Source organism: Homo sapiens, chromosome 9 (assembly GCF_000001405.40).
Source record: "Homo sapiens chromosome 9, GRCh38.p14 Primary Assembly".
NCBI classification, from domain to species: Eukaryota; Metazoa; Chordata; class Mammalia; order Primates; family Hominidae; genus Homo; species Homo sapiens.
This window is the reverse complement of record NC_000009.12, coordinates 39,566,274-39,589,767: the sequence shown is the minus strand read 5'-3', so window position 1 is coordinate 39,589,767 and position 23,494 is coordinate 39,566,274. Positions and strand designations below refer to the sequence as shown.

Below are 23,494 nucleotides of genomic sequence, written 5' to 3'. Positions count from 1 at the left end.
AAGTTACCTCTAACACTTCCATTTGTTTAATATCATAAAGTTGCAAGAAACGTACAGAGAGAGAAAAAGGTTCTAACTTTTCTTAAGATAATATGGGTGTATATATACGCAAATATATATATAATGCTTGTATAAATTAACATTTATTATCTTCTATGATATGATAAGGCATATCACCAAGTAATCTGGAATATCAAAATATCAGCATCAGCTCTCTCTGTTTCAATACGTATAAACTAGGTAGTTCACTAGGAACTTTGAATACATTAGCTCTGATCTTTACAACAGTTCTATGGAAAAAAATAGTTATCTCCTTTTAACAGAGGAAGAAAATTGTTTTTTCAGGGTATTTCCACTCTTACCTCAGTTTCCTCATATGTAATGTGGGATTGACTCAGTCATCTGCTTGAAAGAAGATGGGCAAATCTGGTCCTCTGAAGAGGGAAAGGGGAGATGAGTGAAAATGAACAGAGGAAGCCAAAAAAAAAAAAAACCACACACGCACACACCAAAAATAAGGAGGAGACCCATTTTAACAGGCATATAACAAGTCAGTTTTATCTCTTTATTTTTTTATTTTGTATTTTTTTTTTTGAGACTGAGTCTCACCCTGTCGCCCAGGCTGGAGTGCAGTGGCACAATCTCGGCTCACTGCAACCTCCACCTCCCGGGCTTAAAGGATTCCCCTGACTCAGCCTCCAGAGTAGCTGGGATTACAAGTGTGCACCACCATGCCTGGCTAAGTTTTTGTATTTTTAGTAGAAAGGGAGTTTCACCAAGTTGGCAAGGCTGGTCTTGAACTCCTGACCTCAAGTGATCTGCCTGTGTCGGACTCCCAAATTGCTGGGATTATGGGCGTGAGCCAGTGTGTCCAGCAGAGTTTTATCTTCAAATAAAATATTTTTTTAAGAAAGCTGAAAGCCTCACAGAAGATATGTCCTTGAGGGAAAAATCTCAAACCCTTGACTTGTTTGTCATTTGATAGTTTCGGTAACTGAGTCTCAGTGAGCTACGGTTTTCGTAGCTCTACAGGCACAAAGCAAAAGGGTGGTCATAAAGCTGCCTTTCAGCAGACATCTGCAGGCGTGGCTGGGTGTGTGCCACACACTGGCCAGCTCAGAACATGTCCTTGTCACTGTGAAGCTTAGTGAGATGCACAGGCTATGACCTGTCTTAAAGCAAAGTCAAGACATAAGCAAAACAGAAGCCACCCTGATATTTCAGAGTGGGATATCTGTTAAGAGATTATCTCATTCAGATTGATTTTTAATATTAATTGAATTGCAGGCTTGCCACAATATGGTGGAATACTAACAAAACATAAAAGCCACAGTAGCCGTGGGGTGTGACGTCAGCAAGTGATAAAATGAGACTTTCTGGATCTCGGCCCCTCACAGAAACATCAATTTGAACAAATCTTCACACACAAAAATCCTTTCACAAGAGCTGAGGAATCCACATGAGAGATCACAGCATGTTGAGTGTAACATAGAAATAAAACCCAAGCTCTGGGACCACCACCCCAGCTCTAGGCCAGCCCCTGCAGGCCAAGGTCCAGGCTGGCCTCCAGGGCCCAAGGCTCCAGGCCCACCCCAGAACCAGGCTTGGCCCCATGAACTCATATATATACAGCCTGAGTCTGAGAAAAAAAGGTAATTTTTCTTCACAGTGAAAATTGCAGCCAAAGCAACATCTTGCATTGGATATAAATGTCTTTCTCTAGGGCCTGGACATGCAGAAATGTGTAATATTCATAGAGAATTGTCTCCAGCAATGAAGAGGAATATGTGGGAACATTTAATTTTTTACAACAAAGTTACAATCTGGGAAACACACTTTAGGCTGATGCAAACTCAATCAATGCTAGTATTGGCTACTCAGAATAACCTACAATTTAATTTGTTAGTTTTTATAATCACCCCTGAAAATCAGAACTCATAATTACGATGTTGTGTATAATTGCAAATGAGAATTTTAGAAATCATTTAAAAGGCAAAAGGTGTTTATGAAGGTAAAAATCTCAAATTTCAAACAAAACCTTGTGATTTGAGATAAAAGATCTAATAGCATCATAACAGATTCATACGCAAATTTAATACAAATGCAACAGGAATTTAGCTGGAAGAGAAGATGCTGCATTTTGAACAACTGTGTTGAGTGACTCAAAACATGGCTCCTGTAAGGAGGAAGATCTCATGCTGGAAATGCACGTGATGAATGAATAAAATATTTTTACAAAGACTATATTTTCTTTTTGTTTTGAGACTGAGTTTCACTCTTGTTGCCCAGGCTGGAGTGCAGTGGTGAGATCTTGGCTCACTGCAGCCTCTGCCTCCCGAGTTCAAGTGATTCTCCTACCTCAGCCTCCAGAGTAGCTGGGATTACAGGCACCCCTGAGGTCAGGAGTTTTTTGTTTTTGGTTTTTTGTTTTTGAGACAGAGTCTCATTCTGTCACCCAGGCTGGAGTGCCCTGGCTCAATCTCGGCTCACTACAACCTCTGCCTCCTGGGTTGAAGTGACTGTCCTGCCATAGCCTCCTGAGTAGCTGAGATTACAGGTACCCGCCACCACGACCGGCTAATTTTTGTATTTTCAGTAGAGACAGGGTTTCACCATATTGGCGAGGCTGGTCTTGAACTCCTGACCTCAGGTGATCCACCCGCCTCGGTCTCCCAAAGTGCTGGGATTATAGGCGTGAGCCACCGCGCCCAACAAAAGACTATGCTTTCAGGAATCATTTCTTTTTTTTTTTTGAGACGGAGTCTCACTGTGTCACCCAGTCTGGAGTGCAGTGGCGCAATCTCGGCTCACTGCAAGGTCCACCTCCCAGGTTCACACCATTCTCCTGCCTCAGCCTCCTGAGTAGCTGGGACTACAGGCACCCACCACTATGCCCGGCTAATTTTTTTTTATTTTTAGTAGAGACGGGGTTTCACCATGTTAGCCAGGATGGTCTCGATCTGACCTCGTGATCCGCCCACCTTGGCCTCTCAAAGTGCTGGGATTATAGGCATGAGCCACTGCGCCCAGCAAAAGACTATATACTTTCAGGAATCATTTCCTTTTTTTTTTTTTTTCCTTTGAGATGAAGTCTCACTGTGTCACCCAGGCTGGAGTGCAGTGGCGCGATCTGGGCTCACTGCAAGCTCCGCCTCCCAGGTTCACGCCATTCTCCTGCCTCAGCCTCCCAAGTAGCTGGGACTACAGGCGCCCACCACCACACCCAGCTAATTTTTTGTATTTTTAGTAGAGACGGAGTTTCACTGTGTTAGCCAAGATGGTCTCGATCTCCTGACCTCGTGACCCACCCACCTCGGCCTCCCAAAGTGCTGGGATTACAGGCATGAGTCACCACCCCCGGCCGAAACCTTAATTTTATGAAATGTTTTTTTATGTTCCAGACCTTAACTGATGAGCTTTTAAAACTAACTTCTAAATTTGAAATGTATATTTAATTATGGAATACGCTTTAATGTAATCTTTTGGGATAATCACCTAATATTTTGCCTTGGCATTGGGCATGAAGCATTTGTCTGGGTGATCACATGGAGGGCCCTGCCTCAGTTTACCTCCCTCATTGACCTGCTTGTTGACTAAATTATCATAACTTGATCACAATTCCTTTGAAGCTGCCTGAATCAAAGCCACTGATCTGCAGATAAAATCAAAATACACATTCAGTGTTACACACAAAGTAACATTGCCTTATATACTGTATCTACACTTTATTGAGAACTGGAAATTCCATAAACATGGAGAGGCATTACTGAAGGCAAGCAAGCAAAACTCTAGCATGCAGTCAGACTCATGGCAGGAATTAGGCATGATCTACCTTGTCCTCACCCTTGGGGCACTGCCTGCATGTCTGTAGGCCTCGGCCATGCCCAGCTCCTGTGGCTGCCTGGAAAGTGTGGGTTTGGCCAGTTGCTGCCATCACTACTCCTCAATAGGTCCTGGATCTCAGAATTTGCCTGGTAGTCCTGGGCCCACCTGCTGATGTTCAGGATAAAGGGAGTGGGGAGAAGGGGTCATTCTGCTTCCTTCACGTGGAAGTGCAGTTGTTAGTTTTGGGGGACTGGACAGCAAAGAGCATGGTTCCTTGACTCCTGGGTCATGGGGTGTCTGGCCACTTCCACATCGTTGCCACTCACTCCTAGTGATACACCAGGCACCAGAGGCTCCACTCCTGAGGCACATGCCCCGGCTGCCTCAACACTGGCCCTTCCCCCCACCTTGGATGAGCTCCTGTTGCTTCAGCATGAGCAGGGCTCACTCTTTCACTCTGCAGCAGGCCTAGGCTGTGCTGGCTTCTGAGATGCCCCAGGGCACCCGCTGGGAAGTGGGGTGTATGTGCGTGAGGCGCCAGTGTTGGTCCATTCTCGCTGCACAGCCTTATTTTCCCAGCTTTTTCCTTGTGCCGCCCTCAGCCTTTTGTCTCTCATGACTTCCCTTTCAGGTCACACCACTTTGCTGCTTGACCCTTGAGTGTTAGCAACCCTTCCCTGCTCTGGGACTCAGTTTACCTTTTGTTGGTCTAGAGGTGCAGGACAGGTGATTTCTTCCCAGCTTGACTCCAGATCAATAGCTTGCCCTCCCCTGGTGACAGCAGAGAGATCTGTGAATCACTGCCCACCCTCACCCCCACTCCTGCCCCTCGGCATACTCCCGCCCCAGGTCTTCCCAGGTCACCTGCTCTTAGGCTCCACCACACCCCTGCAGGTCAGCCTCTCCCAGCAGCCTTCCTGTAGACTCCTTCTCCTCTCTCCCCCTCTCTTTCCTGTAGAGGCTTTGGAGCCCATCAGCCCGAGGACCAGGACTCCACCACCCTGCACCCCTCTTGCGCCAGGATGGCCCCAAACTTCGGCAGATGCTCTGGCTCTAAAACTTGGACCAGCACCAGGTACCCCAGGCAGGGCCCTAGTTCTGCTGTCCTGCCCTGAAGGCCATGTTCGGTGGCTGGCCTAGCCTGATGGGAACATGTACAGTCAGGAAATCTCTCCACAGCTCCAGGCCCAGGTAAATGGTTCTCAATACTCTGGCCCAAGGGACTGGTCCTTTGAGGTCAGGAGCACATCTCAGCTTCAAGGAAAGCTGAAAAATATGCAAGACTCTATTGCCAGGATAATTTATTTTTATTTTCTCTTTATATTACTATTTTTTTTCTTTATCTGCCTTTTTTTTTTTTTTTTTTGAGATGGATCCCAGGCGGGAGTGCAGGGGCATGATCTTGGCTCACTGCAACCTCCGCCTCCTGGGTTCAAGTGATTCTGTTGCCTCAGCCTCCCCAGGTAGCTGAGACTACAGGCGTGTGCCACCAAGCCCAATTAATTTTTTTTTCTTTTTTTTTTTTTTTTTTTAGCAGAGATGGGGTTTCACCATGTTGGCCAGGCTGGTCTCAAACTCTTGACCTCAGGTGACCTGCCTGCCTTGGCCTCCCAAAATGCTGGGATTACAGGTGTGAGCCACCTCGCCTGGCCCCGGGCCAATAATTTTTAAATAACTCCTACCATAATATTTTCGTTTGTTATTTATTTGATAAATATGATAGACTAAAAATAAATTAGCAAGGCCGGGTGCGGTGGCTCACGCCTGTAATCCCAGCACTTTGGGAGGCCAAGGCAGGCAGATCACCTGAGATCAGGAGTTTGAGACCAGCTTGGCCAACATGGTACTAAAAATACAAAAATTAGCCAGGCGTGGTGGCAGGTGCCTGTAATCCCAGGTACTTGGCAGGCTGAGGCAGGGGAATCGCTTGAACCCAGGAGGCGGTTCTGTTTGCAAGTATAGTTGTAACTGCAACCCAAAATGTCTTAGAAACTTGCTATTTGAAGTATTGTCATCACCTGGGATCTTGCTAGAATCTGCATTTAACAACATTCTCAGGCAATTTTAATGATCATTAGGTTTGAAAAACACTGCCTTAAAACAAAGGAAAGAATGGCAGGCAAGTTTCAATTCTAAGCATGCTATATTGTATGTTCTTGGGCAAATTCCACTAAGTCTGAATTTTAAAATAGTTAACTATGGGTAGTAATGAATGAAGTGTCACCTTGTAAAGCTACTTTGAGAAATCCAAGTGTTGGCAAACCCTTTGCAAAAATAAAGTTGCTGAACATATTCTAATACAGTTATGTTGGGCTCCTGTTCTTATGAGGCAGAGAAAATTATGCTTTAATCAGAGCTTCTAAGTCACAATCACTGGAATCTATTATTAGCCTTTAAGTCCTCATTCTTGAGACAGCACCATTTCTATTTTTGGTTGCTGGGAAACTGATTATGCTCTTCAAATAGAAACTGCAGCAGCAGATGAACTTTAAGAAAATATAATCATGTTTGTAAGAAGAAAAATTTAATAAAGGAAGAAATGAAACAAAGCAAACTCATAGACTGATCTGTTTTGAAATTCCATTTCTGTCCTCATGATAGCATTATTGACTTAATAATGAAGTAATGTTACTCATTCACAATTGTACAGCAATGGCCAAAGACTGAATGACCTCTATTTTCTGAAATTGTTTCATTTACAGAGTTCACTCCTGATGGGAACATCCAGAGACATCTTCAGAGAGCTTTGCTTTGACCCCCACCCCCCAACATTTTAAGGCATGGATCTGGAAATAATGTAGTTGGTTTGCAAAGGTAAGTCTTATTTTACAATTGCATATTCTACAAAGGCATTTCACTTTCAAAGCTCCTCCAAGACAATTACCTCCAGATTGAGACACACCCTGCTCCTGAATTCATGCCTGCATACCAGCCATTCTTAATCACCTTCCTTTTTAATCCAGTTGGAAAATAAAATGTTTCCTTGTTCTCTGAATGTACAGTACTCAGATGTACAATGAAAATGATTGATGCTCCAACCGCCTATAAATTCTTTGATTCCATCAGCTTTTCTCTTTCTATTGGCCATTTCCCATTAGTGTTTAAACTTAAGACTCACACATCTCCCATCAAATAAACCCCCTTCACCCTACTTTACTGATTTCAATATTTTAGCTTCTCCTCTCCTTATTTACTTCCCATTTGTCTTTCAGTCCATCCTGCTCTATTTTCACTTCTACAATTGCACAGAAATGTCTCTGATAAAAGTTCCCAGCATACACTTTAGAACTGATATTACTTGATCTCACTTCAGTGGTAACAATATGCTGCTGATGGAAGTACCACAGAACTCACAAAAAGCTTTTACTTCTCCAGGGACTTTCATTATGTCTGTCTAGAGCCAACAAAGCCAAACCCTGAACAATGGCCATTTCAGCCTCCATTTGACCCAAGCCAACTTATATTTAATGAATGAAACTAATGCTTTAAAAATTATAATGAGCCAGGCATGGTGGCTCATGCCTGTAATCCCAGCATTTTAGGAGGCCTGACTCTAGAGGTCAGGAGTTCGAGACCAGCCTGGCCAACATGGTGAAACTGTATCTGTACTAAAAATACAAAAATTAGCTGGGCGTGGTGGCACCCACCTGTAATCCCAGCTAGTCGAGAGGCTGAGGTGGGAAAATCGCTTGAACCCGGGAGGCAGAGGTTGCAGTGAGCTGAGATCACACCACTGCACTCCAGTCTGAGTGACAGAGCAAGACTGTCTCCAAAAAGAATAATAAATAAATAAATAAATAATGAAATTCAATTGATAATGATGGAAATCAACCAATAAACCTACAATACTTTCATTAAGATTCTTTTTAAAAGAAAACAATATATTTTTATTAGGAAAAGTAAAGGATTTAGTCATAATAAGTAAAATTTGGTTTCAGAGCTCTTAATTTACTGATTGACTGTGAACAGATGCCAATGGGAACGTGTCTGTAGCACCATTACTCACATGAGGGAGTATTTTAATCCTTTATATATACATCACTAATAGTGGAACCTTGAAGGAGTCCATTTCTCAATCTTGATATAAATTATAATTTATATTGACACACTAGTTTTTTTTCCCATAAGTTTTATATTGAATCCAAGAAAGCTTTATCAGTGTCTGACACCAAGACATATGCTTTAACCGTAATGTGTTTGGAATGTCCACAGTATATCCCACAGTGTGTGAATCTTTAGCTTTAGAAATTAGCTTTGACAAGGGAGAGGTCCTGAATTATCCAACAACAAAATTGAATTATTGTATAAGATGTAGCGCCCATACCTGCAGGGCATGTGAAGCTCAGTGATTGGATAATAAGACTTTTACTAATGTTATGGAACCTGGGATAAGCAATGCGATAGAACCAGGAAGACAGTTGTCGTTCTTTTATGACTCAGAAACAGTATGATGACTTATAACTAAAACTTTGTTCATACAAGGCCAGCACTCTTCTAATGATGCAATATGCATTTGATTTATCCATTATTACTACTGTCCATATGAAAAGCAAAAATTGACATAATGTTTATGATTTAAATAATGTAATATATAATTATAATAGTAATAAAAGCATATATAATAATGTTTATATTATGATTATGTTAGGTGGGGTTTCCTTCTTTTCCCTTGAAAGCTGGATAAAAGTGAATTATATAGCCAATAACATGCCCTGTGCAAGTCTAATACTCTCTTGAAAAGTGAAATCTCTCAGGTAAGCCAAAGTTTCATTGTCACCTCTGGCTAAAAATTTCTACTTCTAGTATGTGTGAGATTTTTTTTTTTTTTTTTTTGAGACTGAGTCTTGCTCTATCACCCAGGCTGGAGTGCAGTGGCATGATCTCGGCTCACTGCAACCTCCACCTCCCGGGTTCAAGCGATTTTTGTGCTTCAGCCTCCCGAGTAGCTGGGATTACAGGCGCCAGCTACCATGTCCAGCTAATTTTTGTATTTTTAGTAGAGATGGGGTTTCACCATGTTGGCCAGGCTGGTCTCAAACTCCTGACCTCAAGTGATCTGCCCCACTCCCCCACCCAAAATGCTGGGATTACAGGTGTGAGTCACCGTGCCTGGCTGAGGATTCCTTTTTTAAAAGTTTCTACAGTGTTGGAAAATAATCAGGAGAGTCAGGCAATGTGAAGGAACTACTCAGATGTCACTGGCCATCTGGTTAAGAAGCACAGTGATGCCATCTTGTTCTAGGATGGCGGCAGTAGGGATGGAGAGAACCTTGAGGAGCCATTCTAATTCTTCCCATTACCGTGTTTTATTTTTGTAATAGCAATGATCACTTTCTGCAATTATATTATTTCTGTGTATGTTTGGGTATTTTTTATTTATCTACTTTATTTTCATCTTCCACCATGAAAATATAAGATCGAAATGGCAGAGTAAAGATGTGCTTTGTCTTGTACACTATATCAACAGAACTTTGACATTGCTGACAGACAGTTGATGCACATTAAATATTTGATGAATAAGTGGATGAATTAATGAATGGAAATAGAGCAATAGGGTTAGCTCTAGGGTAGTGTGGTATCATGCAAGTGGGTGTGTAAGTTGGGAGAGACCTGAGCATGTTTAAATATACTAGGGAATTATGTGGTTGGAACAATAAATTAAATACTGAGATACTCAAGCAAGATGTCATGGGACCTAATACAGGAGATAAGACTATGTGATTCGCATTAAACGCTCATGTAGCATGTTATACGAGATCTTCAGACTTGCTATATAATTATTCAGCACTCAAGGTGGTGCTTAAGAAAATTGAGGAACTAAAGACTCCTTTGTGTTACCTGATCTGTAGAAATAATTTAAAACCTTGTCTAGTTTTCTTTTTTTTTCTCCTGTCATAAGCTTGTTAAGAGATTCCTCCATAGAAACTTTTTTTGGTAAAATAATAACTGCTGTTCAGTGCATCATTTCTAACAATGTGATGTTAGCTACAAATATTTAGGTAGCACATCCTTTCAAAATAGGCGCTTTCGGGCTAGGCGCAGTGGCTCACGCCTGTAATCCCAGCACTTTGGGAGGCCGAGGCCGGCGGATCACAAGGTCAGGAGATGGAGACCATCCTGGCTAACACGGTGAAACCCCGTCTCTACTAAAAATACAAAAAATTTGCCGGGCGTGGTGTCGGGCGCCTGTAGTCCCAGCTACTCGGGAGGCTGAGGCAGGAGAATGGCGTGAACCCAGGAGACGGAGCTTGCAGTGAACCGAGATTGCGCCACTGCACTCCAGCCTGGGGGACAGAGCGAGACTCTGACTCAAAAAAAAAAAATAGGTGCTTGCGATAACTTGGAGTGCTGTTCTTACTGATGCTTACACTTTGGTAGCTCACCTCTCCTACGGGGAACTGTGTTCTCAGACATGTCATGGGAAGTATGTCATCGGCACAGCTTCATTGGTAGAATTTACTAAAAATACAAGTTATCTGTATTTGCCTTATAAAGGCCTTCATATAGTGTCCAATATTTTCTAACCAGATGTACAGTGAAAATGATTGATGATCAAATACATTTTCATGGTCAATGCAACAACCGTTGAGCAAAAAAATTAACATTTATTGCAGACACTGGGCAGTTGTCAAACAATATTCATGTCATTAAATCAATAAATGGGCACAGAATAATGGAAGCAAGGTCGTGGATGAACAGATGGCAGTGTAATGGAGTCAATCTTTTACTGATTTAACCACTCTCCTCTTATTTCTAATGTCCCTTCCATCACGATGAGTTCTCTTTGGGATGATGTGTATCTAACTGAAGCTCCTCCTCAACAGCTGCTGAGAATTGAGTGTTGATGGTAATTATCCGTATGATTTTTAATCAGACACTTTTCACAGATTCAAGTGGAATGATAACTCTATGGGAAATTGATAGGACAGCCAGAGTTATGTAAATTTTGGAAAAAAAAATTAATCAACAGCGAATACAAATATTATGTCTAAAGGCTAACAACTGGATGATCATAATAACTCAATGGCTAATAAATAAACTAGGGAAATCCAAGCCGGAATTAGAAGTAAAAATTGGCCATTATATAATTATGACCAAGAAGTTCTTTCTTAATTAGCAAGGGGTACAGCTGTATGTTTATTTCAAAGTAATTTTTTGTTTGCAGTTACAATGTTGAATGAAAGGCTAAAACAATTCCTTCCTTAGCCCTTTCCCTTTGATGTGAAAAATTAACTCTGAGTACCCTCAGTAACTTTGAATACGCTTTTTATACCCTTAAAGACAAAAATAAAGTCATCATTTTTTCATTGACTGTAACTATTAATACTATATTCATGTTACTGTAGCTTTAACTGATGACTCATTTTTAGAACATACTATCGTTGATCTATGGCAAATGCTTTTAAAACTCCTCAGAAGCTAATCATTTATGTTGAAAACTCACAAAACTGCACATAATATAATAGATAAAGGGAGGGCATAGTGAAGTTTTCATTTGACTTATCTGGGTTTTGGGATTTACCCCCTTACAGTATGTGAGCCTATGAATAAGTAGGTAAGCTTCTAGTGCTCAGAGGTTTAATGTAGAGTGTGTTTATTTTTAATATTTGTGAATTTTCTATAGAGCAGAGCTGTTTCCATTGAATTAAACCATATTTACTTCTGCTAAAATATTGTAGAATGTAATTGTTCCCTTTACTATATCTATATTTTTTTCTCATTTATTTATTTATTTATTTTGAAAATGAATCTTGCTCGGTCACCCAGGCTAGAGTGCAGTGGTGCGATCTTGGCTCACTGCAAACTCCACCTCCCAGGTTCAAGCAATTCTCCTGCCTCAGCCTCCAAGTAGCTGAGATTACAGGCACATGCAACCATGCCAACTAATTTTGTATTTTTAGTAGAGATGGGGTTTTGTCATGTTGGCCAGGCTGGTATCAAACTCTTGACCTCAGGTGATCCACCTGCTTCGGCCTCCCAAAGTGCTGGGATTACAGACATGAGCCACCTCACCTGGCCCCCTTTACTATATTTAAAGATGACATTGTCATATGATGTGTATGATGAAAAGTATATCATTGAACTCTATTCTCATATGAAAGGACATCTGATTTTCTAGAAGATTTATCTGCCCCAGGTATATTCCTGTGGGAATAATACAAACCAAATTAAAATGAAGTCTGCTTTTTTTTTTTTCTATTCCTTATTGAGATTGAATTCAGAATTCCAAACAGGTTTGCTATTCATTTTCATCTTGACAAAATCAAAACCTAAATATTCTATGTGTCACCTACTGTGATGGGAAAGATAAAACTAATTATTTAATTATCAAACATGAGTAGGTGAATTATTTTTATTAATCAACATTACATAAACGTGTTTTGAGAATAAAATTTTGTATCCTCACTTTTTAACCAAAGACATAAAATATAACTGACATTCTGTAGCCAAATCAATGATATATACACCCAGATTGACCTTTAAGAGTTTAAAAATAAATGTATGCTGCATGGTCAAATGGATTTGGAGATACATAGGCTAGTAGATGAAGCACTAGGGCTTTATGAAACCTTTTTTGAGGGCCGGTGCTGTGGCTCAAGCCTATAATCCCAGCAGTTTGGGAGGCCCAAGCAGGCAGACCACTTGAGGTGAGAAGTTCGAGACTAGCTTGGCCAACGTGGCAAAACATCTTTACTAAAAATACAAAATTAGCCAGGCATGGTGGTGCACACCTGTCATCCCAGCTATTTGGGAGGCTGAGGCATGAGAATCACTTGAACACGGGAAGTGGAGACTGCAGTCAGCTGAGATTGTGCCACTGCACTGCAGCCTGGGCAACAGAGTGATACTCCACCTCAAAAAAAAAAAAAAAAGGTTTTTTTTTTTGAGTTAGTGATACATGTTAATAAATTAATCCAGAGATTTAAAAACCACTTTTACTTTCCATGTTAAAAAAAATCAGCATACTTTCCAACTATAACCTAAAAATCTACAAAAAACTTTCCAAATTCTCAGTAAAGGAAGTATTGCAATCCACAGGAGATTATTGCTTTGTTCTAAAGACAGTTGAAACATTTTCGAATCTCTGACATTTTTTAGATCACCCTTTGCAGGGTGGGGTTCACGGAACACTTTTTTTCCTGATCATATGACATTGCCTACATAATTTTGTGATTAACTGACTTTGGAAAATCAGGATTGAGACAAGTAAACAGTCCTATCAGAACTAAATATGTTAATGTATGGTGTCCCCAAGGGGTGTGATATGCAGCATTAACTCTTAAATGTAGATAATCATGGGACTTTTATAAGCAGATACACTTTGTGAATTACTACTTTAAATATTGGTAGTAATAGATTGCTTAATCGAACTTAAATTTAAAGAGATGATGTTGGACTTCTAGTGAATGGAAGCCAAGTATTTCTATTTACTAGAAAAATGTACATGATCTATTATCCACAGTGAACTAGCAAACCTTCCATCTTGATATTTAGTTTTCATATTAATTGTATTATATTTCATCAGCTTACATTTTTTACTCACTAGGGCATACTTTTATTTTTTCATTGCAATAGCTTATTCAATATCTGCCTATTCATATATTAAGTAATAATTTTTTTAACCTGCATCTCACACAGAGAAATCATGAGGAAATCTCCACTCATTCTGGTCAGCATCACAGTTGCAGTATGTTGCAGGATTCCTGGGAGTCGATGTGATTTTTTCTAATACACACATATGTTTCTCAACATTGGGCAAATAACCTCTCCGGTAACTGTGCGCTTCGCTGGTTCTTCCTACCTACCAGCTCAACAGGGTATCATCTGAAAAAAGAATATGAGAAAGGCGAGTCCTATTTAGCCCAACTACTCACCCTCTAATGCGGTTCCGCTTCCGCTCAGATAATGACGTAAAAACAGTTTTTTGGTGTGTGTGGGTTTTTTTTTTTTTGGGGGGCGGGGGGGACAGAGTCTTGCTCTGTTGCCCAGGCTGGAGTGCAGTGGCGTGATCTCGGCTCACTGCAAGCTCCGCCTCCTGGGTTCACGCCATTCTCCTGCCTCAGCCTCCCGAGTAGCTGGGACTACAGGCACCCGCCACCACGCCCGGCTAGCTTTTTGTATTTTTAGTAGAGACGGGGTTTCACCGTGTTCGCCAGGATGGTCTCGATCTCCTGACCTTGTGATCTGCCCGCCTCGGCCTCCCAAAGTGCTGGGATTACAGGTGTGAGCCACTGCACCCGGCCAAAAGAAACAGCTTTAAGAAAATAACAATCCAAACCCTGCAACAGAACATTTCTTTAAGAATACTAACCAGCTTTTTTTTTTTTTTAATTAAAAAATATTTACGGCTGGACACGGTGGCTCATGCCTGTAATCCCAGCACTTTGGGAGGCTGAGGCGGGCGGATCACGAGGTCAGGAGATCAAGACCATCCTGGCTAACACGGTGAAACCCTGTCTCTGCTAAAAATACAAAAAAATTAGCCGGGCGTGGTCGTGGGCTCATGTAGTCCCAGTTCACGGGAGGCTGAGGCAGGAGAATGGTGTGAACTCGGGAGGCGGAGCTTACAGTGAACCGAGATGGCGCCACTGCACTCCAGCCTGGGGGACAGAGCGAGACTCTGTCTCACAAAAAGATAAAATAAAATAAAGAGCCTTTAATATGTTCAGTAATTACACAAAATTAATTATCTTGAGCAGACCAGTTACATAATTTCTTTTGTTTTTGTTTTCTCTTTCTTTCTTTCTTTTTTTTTACACAGAGTCTTGCTTTGTCACCCAGGCTGGAGTGCGGTGGCCTGATCTTGGCTCACTGCAGCCTCTGCCACCTGAATTCAAGCGATTCTCCTGTCTCAGTCTCCCAAGTAGCTAGTACTACAGGTGCATTCCACCCCACCTGGCTAATTTTGTGTTTTTAGTAGAGACGGGATGTCACCATGTTGGCCAGGCTGATCTTGAACTCCTAACCTCTGGTGATCCTCCTGCCTTGGCCTCCCAAAATGCTGGGATTACAGGCATAAGCCACCACGCCCAGCCCTGTAATTTCTTGAAAACAATTTTCAAAGATTGTTTTCATAGAAATAAGTAGCAGCTATGTAGAGATTGAAGCTAAAATCTGTTTGAGACCATGGAGTGCCTATCTAAAACCCTAATGTCATGAGGAGATATGATTTGTTATTGCATTTATTAGATAAAACCCCCAGCTGCATATTAAACATTTAGCGTGACATGGTTCTACTTCTTTGTATTATCGGAGCTCAGAGCACAGTACCCCAAAGTATGGTGCCTTGGCATGTGTGGATTGTTGCACTAAAGGAGACAGGAGGGTTTTAGAAGCAAGTAGTTCTCTTTGGCCTTCTCCCATCCTTCTGTCTCCTGAAACAAGCCATAAAATCTAGAAAGGTTATCTTTTACCTACCTCCCCTGAGAGCTCATAAGACCCTCATTCCAGAGGAGTCCTGCCCCTTACCTGGAGAAAGGAATGCTACACATGAAACCGTCATTGCAAAATTATAACTGAGGCAGTGAAAGAGATCTGACCTAACCAACTCCATCTTGCTTCTAACTTCCAAGCTGTCCTTCGTCATTCCTTGGCGTAGGCTGAACTAACTTTGGAAGGAACTTAGTTTATAATTTATAGATTAAAATGAACATAATGACAGCTCTTTCCCAAAACAAATCCCTTTCTTGCTTAGGGACTAGACTGGCTTTGTAGGACTAACAAACTAGTCACAAGATTAGAAATTATGGTTTAGGAGTCATGCAGCTGGAGGCTACGAGGTTCTTTCCAGATTGCTCCAGGGGATAACATCACTACTGTAAAGCCTAAGACCAGCTCTTGAGATATTTTGCAGACGCTGCACTTGATGGATCAGCAGCCATCACCCCGATCGATAAACTGGCTCATCTGATATTGTGGCCCCACTCAGGAACTGACTCAGCACAAGAGGACAGCTTTGACTCCCTATGACCTGACCAATCAGCACACCCAACTCACTGCCCCCCACCAGTTCACAAATTATCCTTAAAAACTCTGATCCCCAAATGCTCCAGGAGACTAATTTGAACAACAATAAAACTTCAGTCTCCCACACAGCTGGTTCTGTGTGTATTACACTTTCTCTGTTGCAATTCCCCTGTCTTGATAAATCAGCTCCGTCTAGGCAGGGGGCTAGATGAACCCATTGGGCGGTTACACACAGAGAGACCAAGAAGAATCAGAACAAACAGGCCTTGCTGGGCTCTGCTCAGTTTATTACCATTAGATCATATCCCTTTTGTCCAGTTACGTTGCTCCACAACTATTCACTTCTTTCATCAGATTTAACATAAAAATACAGTTTCCCCCTGGGTGTTTGGGTCTTCATTTCTGAAGCCTCCTGTGTCAAGCAAAACTTTGATTAAATACCTTTGTTATGCTTTTCTCTTGTTAACCTGTCTTTTGTTATGGGGGTTTTGGGCTGTAAACCTTGTGGCGGGTGAAGAAAAGATAGGACTTTTCTCCCCTAGAGTATTTTAAAAGTCTTGTGGAGGCCTGTGCTTATGTCAAAGATGTCTGGAGGCATGGCTTGACTGTTCATTCAAAGACAAAGAAACAACACTCATGGACTTTCCTGCCTGGAGGAAATGTCACCCTTGGCCACACAGCTTCTCAGAGCAACGTTCACGTCCACCAGCGGCACTGATAACTGACTCCTCAGCACTGTCCAGCGAATGCTGCATGGAGGCTCGCAGGCACCCCAGCTTAAAAAGGAGGAGGAGAAGGTAAATACCTACCTAGTACACAGGAAATCAAAGAGCAAAGCTTAAGAAGTGGGCTTAGACTCATCAACCCCTCAAAAATACTCAGCCACTTTTATGTTTTCTTCCCCAACCCCAAGCTCTCATCCTGAGGTCCTGACTGAATCTGGAGCGTGCTTCAGTATCTCCCTAATTTATAAGCGCCACTGCTCATTAAGGCTCCCTGTTAGATGAGACCTCTGCTGCAACAGCCTCTCTGCTTGTAAACATCACTGCATATATCACCACCCACCCCAGCCCAGCAGGGAAAGGAAAACAACAACAACAAATAAAATGCAATTCTAGGAATAGTGAGATATGCAAGAAGGCATCAGTATTAAACTTTCTGTTTTGTTTTGTTTGAGACTGAGTTTTGCTCTTGTTGCCCAGGCTGGAGTGCAATGGTACGATCTCGGCTCACTGCAACCTCTGCCTCCCGGGTTCAAGCGATTCTCCTGCCTCAGCCTCCGAAGTAGCTGGGATTACAGGCGTGTGCCACCATGCCTGGCTAATTTTTTTTTTTTTTTTTTTTAGTAGAGATGGGGTTTCACCATGTTGGTGAATACAACTCCTGACCTCAAGTGATCCACTCATCTTGGCCTCCCAAAGTACTGAGGTTGCAGGTGTGAGCCATCGCACCCGGCCAGTATTAAACATTTTTTTAAAAATTATGTTGAAACTTAAAACTAGGTAGTAGAAAGTAGGTAAAACAATTAATAGATGGTTTTCAAATACCACTTCCAACTTAATTACTAGTCATTATATTTTCTCTTCAGATTGAAGAGCCAAGACATCATTACACCTAAATGCAAAACTGTGTGTTTACATCCAAATCTCTCATCTTTCTTATAAAATAGGAAATAAAATTTTAAAGGTACCAAATGTGTTTAGAACCATTGAAGATAGTTTAAATATTGTTAAACATTTAGGGGACTATAAGAAAAAGTTTGTTTTTTTTTTTTAAATGAGACGGAGTCTTGCTCTGTCACCGAGGCTGGAGTGCAGTGGCGCGATCTCTGCTCACTGCAAGCTCCGCCTCCCGGGTTCACGCCATTCTCCTGCCTCAGCCTCCGGAGTAGCTGGGACTACAGGCGCCCGCCACCACGCACGGCTAATTTTTTTGTATTTTCAGTAGAGACGGGGTTTCACCGTGTTAGCCAGGATGGTCTCGATTTCCTGACCTCGTGATCCGCCCGCCTCGGCCTCCCAAAGTGCTGGGATTAAGGCGTGAGCCACCGCGCCCAGCCAAGAAAAAGTTTTTTTAAAATTAGTGAAAATATTAGACTCTGAAGAATAGAAATAATAAATAAGAAAAATGTAAATGACTTTCTCAACAATTTTAGCCACTGACTCCCATCCTCCTCTGTGCCCTCAAATTCAATTTTCAGTGACTTTCGCAGGCCAAGAGTCATCATTCCCGTTGCTGACAGCTCAGCTCCTCAGCCTGGGAGTATCCATTTTTGGACATGCATTTTTTATTGTACTTGCTTTTTTAACAACTCACATTCATGGTTTCATTTTAGAATATCCATGGTGTAAATAACACATTACTTCGTGCAATGGAGACAATATTGCTTGATTGATTCTGTATTACTCAAAAAAAAAAAAGGCGAGAAAAGAACTTTTATCTGAGGAATGTGAGTCCTTTTAAATAATGAGGCCCAGAGAGACATTAAAATGAGGCAGCAGTCAAGTCCTACTCCCCGCTTTGAGCTAGGTATTCATCTCCTGAAACTGCTTATTGCCACAAGTAGCTATAAATTAACCTAATAATGCCAGAGCAAACGCTATAACCCACACCCTGTAGCTTAACAATGTATAGCCAATCACTAATCAATGTTATTTCTATAAATCAATAAGAATGCCTGACAAACAACTTTGTATCAGCCATGCCTTCTCCCTCTTTTTTGCCTTTAAAAATCTGTTTGTAACAAAGGCCAAACTCATATCCAAGGTTACACGGGTCCGAGTCCTCCTGACAACTGTCTTCACTTTGGCTCAGTAAACTCTTTAAATTACAGAGTTTGTGTCTCAGCCTCTTCCTTTTAGGTCGACAAAATGATAGAGCTTTGGAGGTCAATATTTATCAAAACTGCCATCTTTGGGAAATCTTCTGCATATAAGAGCTGGATGTAATTGAGACAGATGCTGCTTTATTCCACAGCACTGCAAAATATTACCCTCCCTTTCAACTCTACCCCAATCGAAAGCTTCTGGAAATACTAAGTCTCTCATGGATATCTGTGTACATTAACTTTTAAAAGAAATTCTCGAATGGCAGCTTTGCTGTGGCAGCTGTCAGGCATGCATATGAGGAAATGTGTTGTAAGTGCACTGATAAGGAATTACCTGATGTTTCTGTAGACAGATTTTCAAACTCATAATTCTTTTCATGTTCATCATCTTCTCCCCAAATTAAAAAAAATTATCGTCTATATATTTATCTTTTCAGCTAGGGTTTTCCTCATCTCTATATGCATTTCTCTCATTTTCAAATATATTTTTAGGACACGCATGTTCAGATCATGTGGACTACATGTTATCATAACTTTTGTTAAATAAAAATATATTATCCAGTATCAGCTCCTTAAACAAAATGACTTTGGGTCCATAATGGCTACTGAAATGTCAACTGACAAAAATTCAAATATATTTCTGGCACATCGATTATTTACTTCTTTTGTATTTAAAAATGAAATACAACCTGCCCAATCGTGTAACAGGCAAAAGCATTCTTAGATCTTTTACCCCTCTAAGACCAAATGCCCAACTGGAGCATTTATGCTGTTTGTGCAGCATTGCCCAGCTGCAGAGAAGCCCAAGGCTCAGAGGGTAAGAAGTGACTGGAAGTTGTCTTGCTACGTATGTGGTGCAGGTTCTTTAACTTTCATAAAAATATATTTGATAAGATGGTCAATTTGCATGAGTATTTACCCAATCAGAGGGTGCAGAGAACAGTTATATGGAGATTTTTTTTTAAGCTATTACATTTACATCATTTAGAAATCAAAATGAGATAAGTTACCTACCAAGGGTACCTTCCCCATTTCTACGCCCATCATAGGGAGCTGAGAATGGCCTGACTAATAAATTTGCATTAGAATTAACAACCACAGGGATGGCATACTTTACAACAGCAACCCAGGGACAAGGAAAGGGGAGAGGATGTTACCAAGCCTAGGGAAACAACTCAGGCTCATGGTGAACAGGGAGGGAAACTGATAATGTCTAACTAACACAATTTTAAATTCAGTAAGAAAATGGTTTGTTAGATCATGTAGCTCACTTACTCGCCATTGAAAAATGCTGTGAGTGTTTCCATGGAAATCTGAATTCAAAAGATCTTTCCTTTAATCATATTCTGAGAATTACACGGAAAATATCTAAAATAGGCTTTTTTTTTCCTTGAACATTACCTACTCTATATTCACCCTCAGGGTTTTTTCTCTCAAATGAATCAAATATAAAGAGAACCTTGTAGAATACTGAGTTGGGTTGTGGAGTTGACTTATCAAGTGCTATTTTTCTCATTCTCATCACAGCTCATAGCGTGTTGGGAAAAAAAATGATGCCTGAATAGCTCATATGGGCAGGTGGTCAGTATAATTGATTTCCAGTTATGTATGGTTAAAATTTAATAATAGAAAAAACATCCTCCGTAAAGGGAAGTATTGAGAATACATCTATAAAATGTTTTCTTAAGAGTAGAATAAGTTAATCTGTGGATAATAGGTGTGTGTGTGTGTGTGTGTGAGAATAATCCCTCTAAGTCACAGATTTTTACAATACTAATATTTGAAACACCCAAGCAAGGGCACAGACAATTATGTTATGTTTCCCTAATTGTCCATAGCTTATCTTCAAAGAATGAAAGAATGTTAGAGATGGAGGGAAGAAACAGCTTAAGGAATTATAAGTAACCTGCAAAACAGAAAAGTATATAGCTGATGTTCACCACCTTTGAATCATGAATAGACTTGGGAGACTAATTTTAAGAATGGCAAAATGTTGAGACAGTTTCTGTGATGTGGTTGAGTAAGACACTTCAGAACGTGTTTGCTCTGACTCACTGGAGCTTGTCTGGCATCAAAAAGGGTGATTCTTAATTGACCCTTTGTCCACCCTGTCAAGAGCGGTCAAAAGAACACACAATTTAGCAGGTTAAACTATTTTAATTTCATCATTTAATGGGATTTCACAGTATAAATAATAAAATTTACTAGATGTCATATGAAACCCCATGTTTCAGTTCATTTGCCATATTACAGCAATTTTGCAATATTGCAACTTTTTCCTAGATTTTATAATTTCCTATAAAATGTCTTCTATAATCCATCTATGTGATTTCTAAGGGAAAAAGTGATCTTATGTAAAAGGAAAATAACCTTGGATTTTCACATTAGATAGGAATGTACTCATTCCCAAGTCTCCTGGAGGAAAAAAATAAAGACCCTGTCAAGAAAACATTGACAGTACTATAATTAGTGAGTCCGTCATTCATGATTTGGAAATTGACCTATAAGAAAGTGGAGAAAAAACCCCCTGTCTCACAGAAGGCAAAAATCATTTCCATTTATGTCAAAATACCATCCTTTAAGAAGAAATGGAGGGCACTGATTCTGATGAGAAAGGGGAATGCAAGTCATGAAGGAATTGTGAAATAAACACACAGAGAGGATCTATCCTGTCATTTTATCTCTAAATAAAGAACTGATCGATGTCTTGGACTCATGTTGATGAGTAGTGAGGGATGGATGTAACACTAGCATCTGTGCCCAGATACACGAGGATAAACGACGTGCTACTTCATGACTCTGAGGATTTGCTGCCAAGACGGATATTTAAAGTGCAGAAATTCTTCCACAATATTGCTGCCCTTACAGAGACAGGGCATTGGTTAGGCCCTGTATTTTATCCAGGCTAACCCCCTCATCATACAGATGAGGAAAATGAGTCCTGGAAAAATTATGATGACAGAACTGGTGAACTCTGACACTTCGGGTTTTGACCTTGGCTAAATTCTTAGATTTTGCCCAAGAACACACTCTAAGGTTTCTCGCTGTAGTTTGACTGTTTTGTTCTGAGGATTTTGGAAATAGTATCTCCTGACAGGATTTCTGTGTTTTTTGCTGCTCAACTGGCTCTGAAATTTCTGAACATGCCTTATGCAGTTTCAACATTCTTCTGTAATCTCTGCTGAAACATTTTTGTACCTATATTTTATATCGATACTTTCAGTGTGTGTGTGTGTGTGTGTGTGTATGTATGTTCTAGGACCCACTTGAGAAAGATTACCCAAAGTTCATATAAATGCTGCATATTGTTAGGTATTGAATAAGTATTTGGTATCTCTTTATGTTATGAAGAAGTAAACAGTGTATCCGCATTTAAATATGAAGACAGGGTTACAGTGGAAGCATGATGCTATCATCTAGTGACACTCATCTTGCAGTATCATATTTTTACTAGTTAAGTGTTCTTTATTTTAAGTAGGAGGTACAGGATTCTGAAGCATAGTGTAAAAGATTGGAAAAGGTTTCACAGGGAAACCTGTGGGTATGAATCATACATGCTGTGGAAACCAAGGATCTTCTCAAAGTCATAGTTACTGGACTTCAAATGAAGCCCTGTGATTAAAGAAGCAAGTCAGCTTAGTAATAGCCAATATTGACTGAAAATCTGAAGGGCATTTGTTTAACCTCCTTAAATAGTTGTTATCCAACAAATCTGCTAAAAAATAGTTTTCAATTATTTAATACTTACTGTCTTTGTTCACTTAAACACAACTTGCAAATAAGAAGTAGTTATTGCAAAAGGTAGAAATGATCATCCAATGTGCAATTCCTTGTCATGAAAACCCTCCAAGGCTGGTTTAAAATAGAAACTTCCTTAAATGTTCTGCAAATAAAAATTCAAGATAATTAAAATCCAGAACAAAAGAGAAAATATTTACATAAAACACACTTCTACAGTATTTTAATTTATTCTGAATCATCATTGAATAGAATATTTTAATTTGTTCAAGTAAATATTTTACTGTGTTCATGATAGGGGCTTAGTATCTGCAAGTGATGGGCCTTGTTAATCTTCAGAATAAGTTTAAATGACAGCTCAGCAGGGCAGCGTCTCCCATGCAGCAGCCCCTGTGGAGCAGCAGGAAGGAAGGCTCCGGAGGAAGCCGCAGGAAGCCGATGGCTCCTGTGAGAAACTGCCTGACTGATGCTGTCACGGTGTTGACCCTCTCTCTAAGAGCCCTGAGATCACACTCGCCCTTTTTACATCACCCAACAGGACTGACTTAACATCCAGGGAGGACAAATAAGGGGGAAGAATAAAATAATCCAACAAAACCAGGACAGAATGCACTCATGTCATTAATGGAGCTACATTCTTACTTTGAATGAATTACCTACATTATGTTACCTTCCTAAAGACTTACTGAAAAAAAGGTGTTCAAGGAACTAAGGGAAACCCAGGGTGGCACTTGAGGTTGCGGGTCACAGACCACACTCTGAATAGCCCTGAGGCTGGGTGCAGGGCCAGGCTGCCTGTGTGCAGATCTCCTGGCCGTGTGTTAGAGGTTGAACCATGCATCTCTCAGAATTCAAATGTTGAATTTTTATTTTATTTTTATTTATTTAGTTTTTTTGAGGCAGAGTCTCACTCTGTCACCCAGACTGGAGTGCAATGGCCCTATCTCAGCTCACTGCAACTTCCAGCTGCTGGGTTGAAGTGATTCTCCTGCCTCAGCCTCCTGAGTAGCTGGGATTACAGGTGCCTGCCACCATGCCCAGCTAATTTTTGTACCTTTAGTAGAGATGGGTTTTTGCCATGTTGGTCAGGCTTGTCTCAAACTCCTGACCTCAGGTGATCCGCCTGCCTCAGCCTCC

General features: G+C 40.9%; 2 annotated features.

Annotated features, from left to right (window-relative positions):
* Positions 15,280 to 16,220: an enhancer, noted in NCBI's record as "OCT4-NANOG-H3K27ac hESC enhancer chr9:41718566-41719506 (GRCh37/hg19 assembly coordinates)". NCBI's record gives its function as "activates a minimal SCP1, AML or CMV promoter by ChIP-STARR-seq in primed H9 embryonic stem cells {active_cell/tissue: H9 hESC(primed)}" and the evidence as "EXISTENCE:reporter gene assay evidence [ECO:0000049][PMID:30033119]".
* Positions 22,466 to 23,039: an enhancer, noted in NCBI's record as "OCT4-NANOG-H3K27ac hESC enhancer chr9:41711747-41712320 (GRCh37/hg19 assembly coordinates)". NCBI's record gives its function as "activates a minimal SCP1, AML or CMV promoter by ChIP-STARR-seq in naive H9 embryonic stem cells {active_cell/tissue: H9 hESC(naive)}" and the evidence as "EXISTENCE:reporter gene assay evidence [ECO:0000049][PMID:30033119]".